The sequence below is a fragment of the Homo sapiens genome, chromosome 2 (genome assembly GCF_000001405.40).
Source record: "Homo sapiens chromosome 2, GRCh38.p14 Primary Assembly".
Classification (NCBI taxonomy): domain Eukaryota; kingdom Metazoa; phylum Chordata; class Mammalia; order Primates; family Hominidae; genus Homo; species Homo sapiens.
In genome coordinates, this window is record NC_000002.12 from 111,195,866 (window position 1) to 111,206,306 (window position 10,441).

The 10,441-nt window shown below is 43.8% G+C and overlaps 1 long non-coding RNA gene across 3 annotated transcripts in view, besides 2 other annotated features; it reads right to left on the bottom strand.

Annotated features, from left to right (window-relative positions):
• MIR4435-2HG (MIR4435-2 host gene) overlaps positions 1-10,441 on the bottom strand; it is a 299,296-nt gene continuing 288,855 nt past the window's right edge. For all 3 annotated transcript variants that reach the window (NR_136164.1, NR_136163.1, NR_136162.1), the window contains one exon: positions 1-1,329. This is a non-coding gene — a long non-coding RNA (MIR4435-2 host gene). The remainder of the gene's footprint in view (positions 1,330-10,441) is intronic.
• Positions 587-881: a silencer, noted in NCBI's record as "tiled region #6991; K562 Repressive non-DNase unmatched - State 23:Low". NCBI's record gives its function as "represses a minimal TATA promoter and a strong SV40 promoter by Sharpr-MPRA in K562 cells {active_cell/tissue: K562}" and the evidence as "EXISTENCE:reporter gene assay evidence [ECO:0000049][PMID:27701403]".
• Positions 1,945-2,064: an enhancer, noted in NCBI's record as "active region_16385". NCBI's record gives its function as "activates an Ori minimal core promoter by ATAC-STARR-seq in GM12878 lymphoblastoid cells {active_cell/tissue: GM12878}" and the evidence as "EXISTENCE:reporter gene assay evidence [ECO:0000049][PMID:35858748]".

The window sequence follows — 10,441 nt, forward strand, 5'->3', positions numbered from 1 at the left end:
TTTCAATCAAGAGCCCTTTAATTTTGTTCCCAAATTTCATGGTACAGAAAAAAAGTGCTGATGATGGTTACTGACTAGTAAATTTGTTTTTTGGAAGGGTCTAATTTTCATACACAGTGGATTTGCCATGGAAACACCGAGTATGTGCACAAGAGTCCTGTTGGATCTGGAAAAGTGAGGAACTTTGAAAATGCATCACACTGCCTGCGTACTGATGCTGTGAGTTTACTAGTGGGGGGGGGGAGATCATGTTGTCACCACAGACAAAATATGCTTGTTCTTTACTAATCTTTTTGAGCAAACCAGTGCCTTGGACTGATGCCCTTTCTCCTTGAGGAAACAGTATCTCTTGATAAGAAAAAAAAATCCTTTTTTTTTCCTGTCCCTCTGCAAAGAACATGACACTCCAACATTGCTACAAAGTATTTGTGTTTTGTTTCAATCTTTCCCCAAATGCAAGTATAGACGGAACACGAATTTGGAATGAAAAGTAAAGTTTGGATTTGTTTTGAAAATATCTTTAAAAAATAAGAGTTTTTGAACAATGAAAGTATTGATAAAATCACACATCTAAGTTAAACACACTCTCAATCACCTCACTCATGTTTCCTGTTTTGGTTAACACATTTTAATTGACTTTGGTCTTTTCACCGTCGCTCTTCCACCTGCAATGCTGGACTGAGTGTCATGCATTGTCCGGGAACCCAGATCCTGGAACTTCCGGCAGAGTCTGGAGTTGTCACCTGTTGTTGTGTAAGAACCATCTCTGCCAGTTCTTATGAGGAGCTGCCTAGCAGAGAATTCAACATTGACCTGAGCCAGCTTAGCGAGCTCGTACAACAGCTGGGCTGGTTATTCCTCTGGGCCACTGGTTCTTACCTCTGGTTGTTCATTAGTCATCAGGGGAATTTTTGAAAAGTATGGGAGCCTGTCCACACCCAGAGATTTGGTTCTAACGGGTCCTCAGTGAGCCAGGACATTGGTTTGGGTCCCACTGGTTTAGTTCCCCTCATTAGGACTTTTGCTCTGGAACATGCTGCATTTTCCCAGGCCCAGGGCAAAGAAGAATGTCCTACATGATCAGAATTTAAGGGACTGTTATGCTGCTTTCCTACCTGACTGTTCACCTAGTCTTTTTTTTTTTTTTCCAAAATGTAACACCATGAAAAGTTTATCTCTCTCAAAAAATAGACACAATGGTATTAATGACAACAGCAGTTGCAGCTCCTGGAGGTGGTTCCATTGGCAGGCCCTGGCTCCCTTCAGACAAGGTTCACAAGTTGGTAAGGCTGGACTTCCATTTTCCAGTAGATACAGGAGCTTGGTGAGCTGGAAACACAATGGCAGAAACTACTTTCATCAAGCTTAAAGATATACTGTGTCTTTCTCCTATCTCTGCATAGCCTTTAATCATTTTTTATTTTGATAGAAACAATACTATTTCTGTAATACCTTCATTAAAAGCTACTACATATCCTCTTGGGAAGTGGACAGAGACTACATTGCAAATTAACACATTTATTCCCAAATTGACGTAAATAACATAATGATGTTTATGTATCACTGGATTTCTCAAGGCAAAAGGGGAAATCTATCTGGTGTGGTGGAGAGTTTCCAAAGATGGTCGCCGTCCCTTCATTCTATCCTCTACGCACTTGCCACCACCCACTGAGAGGTGGAATCTACCCCATGCCCACCCCCACCTCTCGCCTGAGTCTGGACTGGCCCTGGGACTGCTCTGCCCAAGAAAATCCTACAGAATTATACTCTGGGACTTCTGAGCCAAGACCTTAAGTGTTAACTGGCAGCTTCTGCTACCTTCCTTCCCCTGGGCCCCAGTCTCCATGCTAAAAGAAGACGGGGCCACATACAGAGGCATGTGGAAGAGAACCTAGGCTCCGTGGTGACAGCCCCAGCACGAGTCAGGGTCGCAGCCAGCAGGTAGCACCGAATGCCAGCCACATCAGGGGAGACTGCTTGGAGGCTCCAGCCCGGTTGAACTCCAAATGACTGTAGCCCCTGCTAATGTCACCAGTGTCACACGGAAATGGAAACCTACCAAGCAGTCAACCCACAGAAATAATAAAATGACTGGGTTTTTTTTGTTTGTTTTTGTTCTTTTTTTTGAGATGGAGTCTCGCTCTGTCGCCCAGGCTGGAGTGCAGTGGCACGATCTCGGCTCACTGCAAGCTCCGCCTTCCGGGTTCACGCCATTCTCCTGCCTCAGCTTCCTGAGTAGCTGGGACTACAGGCGCCCACCACCACGCCCACCTAATTTGTTTTTGTTTTTGTATTTTTAGTAGGGATGGGGTTTCACCATGTTAGCCAGTATGGTCTCCATCTCCTGACCTCCTGATCCACACACCTAGGCCTCCCAAAGTGCTGGAATTACAGGGGTGAGCCACTGCGCCCGGCCAACTGTTGTTTTTAACCACTACATTTGGGGATGATGGCCATAGATTAAAAACAACGACAATAAAGCTGTGGCTTGCCCCAGGTTATAGCAATTGTATGAATCAGGATTCTTCAGAGAAATAGAACTAATAGGATGGAGAGAGAGAGAGAGAGAACCTGAAAGCTGCAGAGCAGGGTGACAAGCTAGAACATCTGGTAGGAGTTAATGTTGCAGTCTGGGATCCTAAATCTAGAAAACTTGAGCAGGATTTCTATGTTGTAGTCTGGAGGAGAATTCTGACTTCCTTGGGGGACCTCAGTCTTTTCCTTTCAGGCCTTCAACTGATGGAATGAGGCCCACTCATGTTATGACAGGTAATCTGCTTGGCTTTAGTCAAAGTCTGTTGATTTCAATGTTAACGACATCTAAAAAATGCCTTCACAGAAACATGGAGACTGGTGCTTGACCAAACAGCTGGGTAGCACGGCCTAACCAAGCTGACATAAAAATTAGCCACCGCAGCAATGAAACCTGGGAGTTGCCCTGGCTTTCAGGCCTGCACACAAGGCTGTCACTCCTCGGCTACTGCTGGAGACAATACATGAACTCGACACACCCAGGGCCAGCCACGAGCCCGGTGCCGTGGGACAGCCTAGCTTCAATCCCTCGAGTGGAGGAAAGATAACCACAGCCAGCACCATCTCCACTTCCCTCTGGATGAGTTCAGCCCTGAAAAGAGAGAAGGGGTTTTTGCTTGCTTCTACACCCGGAGATATCAGAAAGCCCAGATTCTAAATTCACCCCTCAAAGTGAGGAAAGTGAGGGCCAGGTGGGACTCAAGCCGGCCACTCATCACCAAATGGTCCTTTGTAGCAAATGGACATTTCCACCATTCCAGGTTGCTAGTGATACTGAGCTGCTTCTAGAAGGGGATGCCCAATTTAGTTTTATGTGGAATTCAGTTTCAAGGACAACTAAATAAAAAAGAGCAACTGTGTACAGGGTTTGTAAAAATAGACAACTGATGAACTGCTTTCTCCTCTGGCCTGGCCCTCTTTCAGCCCCTTGATCCCTTCTCTTCGGACTGGTCTTTATAAAGGACAAATCTGATCATATGATTCCCTTGCTGAAAATCCTTTCTTGGCTCCTTGTTGCCTATGGCAGTTTCTCAAAATACGGTGTGTGGCACATCAGGTGGCTTTAGGTGGCATAAAAATTGATGCTGTTTATTTTAATAGTGACTTTTTGGGTTTTGTGGTCATCTTCTATTTAGGACAAGTAACATGGTTTTTCATTTTGGTAGTGGAATTAAATGGATTTACTTCTCCATTGGTCTGAAGAACAGTGTTAGGCTAACAGTGATCTGGATGGTGGGAAATGGCAGAGTCATGGAGATGGACTCAGACGTGGGGAGTAGCAGGGCCCGGGGGCCCTGCCGGGTCTGCCACCTTCCTCGTCTCCTTTCTTCTCTCCACCGGAGGACTCACCTTTATCTCCCAATAAATAGCAAAGAGCCAGCAATTGCCAGGACCACACCTGATGACATTGCTAATCCCACTGTCTGGAATGCTCTGCCCCCAAGGCCCCACTACGTGGAAGACTCCTATTCATCTTTCACATCCCAGCTCAGGAGTCACTGCTTTCATTAGGCTTCCTTCAAATTGTTTCCTTCCACGGTCCCTGTAGCACGGACCCTCCCCTGTGTGTCACTCACCAGGAATAGGGACCGTGTTGGGGATGTCCTTAGAAGCTTGGGCGCTTCTGCAGGACTCAGGATGGGAGGAAAAGACTCTGTCACACTGCGAGACAGGAACTGGCAGCTGATGTCCGAGGGCAGGGTATAAAAGAAAAGGCGGCTACCTGCTTATTGCCATAAGTCCCAGGGCAGCCGGGTGCTGTCTGAAGGGGTCCCCTCCCAGGCCCAATTTCTCAAACCCAGGGAGAACACCTCTCGTCTTCCCCACTCCCCTCCCTGCCCCCTAACTTCTATTTTCCGGAGACTGAAGACAAGCAGAGGCCTGTGTGTGGTGTGTCAGGGCTCCTCTCCCAGTCCCGTGTTTCCCTCACAGCAGGGAAATCCTTCCTGTGCAGCCCCCTCCAGAAGGGAACACCTGCCCCTGATTTTACCAAGAGCCAGATCAGTATCATTGTTTGCACAGAGAGAAACCCTCCTACTGTGATTGCCAGTGATAGCAGTATGGGTTGTGGGAAGTGGGAGGAGTCAGGACTGGGACTCTGTCTGCTCCATGGCTTCCGGCTCGGTGGAGCGAGAGTGCCACAAGCTGTAGAGGACGGGGCTCATCCTCTTATGTGAAAGTGGGAAGCAGACAGGCTTCTGGGGGTTTCCGGTTCCTGCGCCTTGACCCCTGACCGGCAGCTGGTCTCAAAGCTGTCTTACCACTTAGGGCTACAATAGCCGGGCTCTGGCGCTTGGCTACCTGTCTGTGAAGTGGGCGTCTGGATGGACACTGGTAACCTCTCTGCATGCGTGGCTTTGCTTTCTTTTTGACTCTGCTCTTCCCTGGCTGCAGGGAGTGGGACTGTCAGCCAAGGGTGATCCCATCACCTGGTTGGCCAATCAGAGAGTCTGTGCCCCTGCCACAGTGATTGGTCCTGGAGTGGCCCAATTACAGTCCTCTTTGGGCAACTGGTGTGAACCCTGGGAGAGAGAAGTTCAGAAGTTATTCTGAACTCAAGAGTGTAAGGATGAGGCAAGAAATTAATCTAGAGAATAAAGTGAGCACAGGAGAAAGTACAGCTGAAGAGATGGGGGAGAGGACAGAGGAAGAAAGGAGGGATCTGAACGCAGGAACATAGCCCCCTAGCGTGAGTGGCCCCTCCACTTGGGGTGAGAAACCTGACTCACTCTGGGGCTTATGGAATCAGTGGATGGGAAAGAGAGCATTTGATTAGATGTCTGGCCCAGAGTAGCCCAAGAAAGAATGGTCCCAATGCCACTGTCTCCCAGTCTGCCTGGAAAGACCGTCAGGGGCAAGTGGTCCTGGTTCAATGTTCACAGTCTCAAAGAAAGCCTGCCTCTCCACTGAGGGGTCACCCTGGTGCCGTTGAATTATGACTGGGCATGGAGAGTCCCCGGGGCTGTGGTTAGGGTGCTATCAATGCCTTCTGACACCTGTAGAGACTGATGGAGGAAGCCAGCCGCACTGTGAAAGGGGGTGGATGTTCTAGTACTTTCTACAGAGAAGCTGTTTTCACTTGCAGGCTGCCAAGTTGGGGCTGGGCTGCTCTGTCAAGTGGAGAGAGGCCCTCCTCCCAGCTGCTGGAGGGAAGACCAGCCAGAGCTTGGTTCTAAGCTGTCTCTGGACCTGCAGAAGTTCTCTAACCTCCTGTAGCCTCAGCCCCTCCAGAAGTGCTCCTTTCTGGCACCTGGGAGTAAAATGGAAAAAGCACAGCTCCCTGCTCTCCATCTTTATTTTGTTCTGCAGTTTAAAAATTGAGATATAAATTACATAGAATAAAATCTATATGTAAAAAGCAAGTTTTATTTATGTATGACCCCATGCAACCATCACCCACTCCAGGATCCAGAGCATTTCTGCCACCCTAGAGAAGGAGAGAGTCCCCTCCTGTCCCATCTAGTAAACCCCTCTCCTCAGGAGTAACCATGACTCTGATGTCTGTCATCACAGGTTAATTTTACCTGTTCTTAAACATAAAAATGGAATCATACAGTAAACATTCTTTTTGAGTAGTTTCTTTCATCCAGAATGTTTTTGAGATTCATCCAAGTTTGTGTGTCAGCAGTTTATTCTTTTTCATTGCTGAGTAGTTTTTCATTGTATGTATGTCTAGACAGTGACAGTCACAAGGATACATTCTGAGAAATGCGTCATTAGGTAATTTTGTGTTGTGTGAACATCATAGAGTGTACTTACACAATTCTACACTTTGCAGCCTACTGCATACCCAGGCTGTAAGGCCTATTGCTCCTAGGCTACAAACGTTTGCTGCATGTTATTGTACTGAATACTGTTGGCAATTGTAACACAATGGTAAATATTCATGTATCCAAACATACCTAAAAATTAAAAAAGGTATGGTAAAAATATGGTATAAAAGATAAAAATGGCACGCCTGTACAGGGCACTTACCATGAATGGAGCTTGCAGGACTGGAAGTTGCTCTGGTGAGTCAGTGAGTGAGTGGTGAGTGAATGTGAAAGCCTAGGATGTTATTGTACACCGCTGTGGACTTTATAAACAGTGTGCACTTGGGTGATAGGAATTTTTCCTTCCATTATAATTTCATGGGACCATGATTGTGCAGAGCATGACTGTATTACATTTGGATTGTGTCTAGATAAACATTTAATAGGTATTTGAGTTGTGTCTTGTTTTTAGCTATTACAAATAAAATTTATGAGCATTTTGATGGATATTTGCACTTAACTTCTCCTTGAGAAAAACCTAGGAGTAGAATTCCTGGGTGATCTGAGAGGTGAATGTTTAATTTTGCTAGAAAATCCCAAACATTTGTCCAATGTTACTGTATCATTTTGCATTTCTACCAGCAGTGAGAGCTCCAATTGCTTTGTCTACTTGCCAACATTTGGTATGGTCAGTCTCTTTAGACACTTAAGTGGGTGTGTTATGGTATCTTGTTGTGGTTTTAATTTGCATTTCCTTGATAAATAATGGTTTGAGAACATTTTCATGTGCTTATTGGCCATTTAGATATCCTCTTTTGTGAAGCACTTGGTCAGTCAAGGCTTTTGCTTACTAAAAATTTTTTTCTTGCCAGAATAAATTGGGATGTTTATAACTTTTCTACAGGCAGCAATATGGAAATTACTAGGAGTTATACTTTTATTACTTTCAGATTATTTGCATTAAGACCATAAGTTTTCAAATGAGTGGTACAAAAGATAAGAAACAAAATTGTGTTAAAATATCCTTGAGGCAATCAAGTATAAAAATGACACTAATTTATTTTATTGTGATGAGAAGAAATAAGATAGTTTAAGCATGATCTGAGGTAAGAATTGTAATTCTTTAACCAGGCAAGAATCAAAAGTTAATCCAAACAATTTTCAGATACAGAATACCATTTGTGCTTTTTTTTTTTTTTTTTTTGAGACAGAGTCTCTCTGTTGCCTGGGCTGGAGTGCATTGGTGTGATCTCAGCTCACCTCAGCCTCTGCCTCCCAGGTTCAAGTGATTCTCCTGCTTCAGCATCCTGAGTAGCTGGGATTACAGGTGCCTACCACCAAGTCCGGCTAATTTTTGTAGTTTTAGTAGAGACACAGTTTCTTCATGTTGGCCAGGCTGGTCTCAAACTTCTGACTTCAAGTGATCCACCCACCTCGGCCTCCCAAAATGCTGGGATTACAGGCATGAGCCACAGCACCCGGCCCCATTTGTGCATTTGTAAGGTCCATTATAGTAGTTACATTTCCAGAAAAACTAAAAGAAATTCTGAGATATAATGTGAAATGAAATTTGGCACGCAGCTCTTAATATCACTTTTACTTAGCATGCATTGGACACCTACAGTGCAGGTGAGGAACACTGTTAGGCGTCCAGCAGAGACAGGATGGATGGGCACCATCAGCAAGCATGCATCAGATCCCAAAGTACCCTCTCTATGGGGCTTCTTGAGTTTTCTCTGCAGCTGTTTTTTGTTTGTTTGTTTGTTTGTTTGTTTGTTTTCCTTATTTGCTGGTGTTCTGCTAGAACCAGGTTAAATTGAATTTTTGTTTTCACTATACTTTACTATTCTTTTTCTGAGCTGGCATCACTAGGCTATCCAGTTGTCTTGATTGCAGTACTCTAAATCAATTGGCCCTTCCCTCAATCTACCTAATTCACACAATCTTTCAGCCACGGGAGCACATCTCACAAAATGAGAAGCGTCTTTCCTAGTAGCTGTAATCTGCTTCAATTTGCTGCCTGGTAAAGCTATTGTGAGCTTGCTGAATCACTGCTATGTTGCTCATAGCTGTGTCCAAACTGTGAAAATTGCCCAGTCTCTGATCATGTCTCACCTCAGTGGGTACAGGTCAATAGCACAATTGGTGTGATGGTTCATTTTAAGCGTCACTTTGGCTGGGCTACAGTGTCTAGACATGTGGCCAAACATTATTCCAGATGTTTCTGTAGGTGTTTTTGGATGAGATTTTTACATTGAAATGGATGGGCTTTGAGTAAAGCAGATCACCCTCATAATGAGGATGGGCCTCATCCAATCAGTTGAAAGACTGAATAAAACAGAAGATTAAGCAAGAGGGGATTCTGCAGCCTATGGCCTTCAGACTTGAACTGCAACATTGACTCTTCCTGGGTCTCCAGGTTGCCAGCCCACCCTGCAGATTTTGGACTTGTCAGCCTCCATAATCATGTGAACCGATTCCTTAATATAAATTTCTTCATATACCTATATATACAGTCACACACTGCATAACAATGTTTTGGTCAATAAAGGATCACATATCTGATGGTGGTCTCATGAGATTATAATAGCATAATATATTATATATTCTATATATAAATTATATATTATAATTATAATATATAATATATTATTATAATATAATAAAATTCCTATCACCTAGTGATTTCATAGCCATCACAATATCACAGGACAGCATATTACTCAACAAGGCTGTGGTTGAGACAGCAAACAACGGTTCCTGAGAAACTGACTAATGAGTTGTAGGAACTGGAACCAGAATCCATAGCTGAAGAGAGGCAAGAGAAAAGAAACTGCAGGAGAAGAAAAGAAGAACCCCTGAGAAAATTCACAGTGAAGCATTTGGCAGAAGCTTTTGCAGACCTCAACTTTTTCTTTAAAAAGTTTGAAAGTGACCCCCGACACTGAAAGGTTTTTATTAATAGAGAGGAATGTTCGTGGTGCATTATCTGTTTACAAACAAATCTGTGATGAAAAAAAGAAACAACTAAGCAAGATGCTATGGACATATTTCTGAAAAGAGTGACACCTCCTCAAGAAGATCCTCAGTCAGGTCCTTCAGGCGGTGTTCCAGAAAAAGGCGTTGCTATCATAGGAGATGACAGCTCCGTGCATGTTATCATCCCTGAAGACCCTCCAGTGGGACGAGATGTGGAGGCGGAAGATACTGATACTGATGATCCTGACCCTGTGTAGGCCTATGCTAATGTGTGTTTATGTCTTAGTTTTCAACAAAAAGGTTTAAAATTTAAAAATAAAAAATTTCTAAATAGAAAAAAGCTTATAGAATAGGGATATAGAGAAAGACAATATTTTCGTAGAGCTTTACAGTGTGATTTTGTTTTAAGCTAAGTGTTATTACAAAAGAGTCAAAATGTTAAAAAGAAGTTTAAAGTTTATGAAGTAAAAAAGTTACAGTAAGCTAAGGCTAACTTATATATTTTAAAAAATATTTTTAGAAATTTAGTGTAGCCTAAGCGCACAGTGTAATGTCTTAGTTGCTCACGGACTCGCCCAGAGCAACTTCCAGTTCTACAAGCTCCATTGATTGGAAGTGCCCTATATAAGTGTGCAATTTTCACTTTTTATACTGTATTGTTACTGTACCTTTTCTATGTTAGATATGTCTACATAGACATATATACCTACCATTGTGTTATAATTGCCTACAGTATTCAGTATAGTAGCATGCTGTACAAAGCCTAGGAGTGACAAGCTATACCACATAGTCCAGGTGTGTGGTAGGCTATGCCATCTAGGTGTGTGCAAATACACCCTATGATGTTTGCACAACGATGAAATTGCCTAAGGACACATTTCACAGAATGTATCTTTGTTGTTATGCAACACATGGCTGTATATACACACATCTTTTGATTCTGGCTCTCTGGAGAACCCGCATATACTTGACAAAAATGTCAGGGTAAGCCTGGAGTCCTGCTGGTTGTTCTCCTGTCTGTCATGTTAAAAGAAAAATAAAACTATTAACTGGCTTTCATTTTTAAACATTCCCAGGCCCCAAATTCTATATCCCCCTGGAATCAGCATGGCTGCAGGAACATCTTCTCTCTGCCGGTCAAGGACACTCCTCAGCAGAGTGGCCCTTTCCGAAGCTGA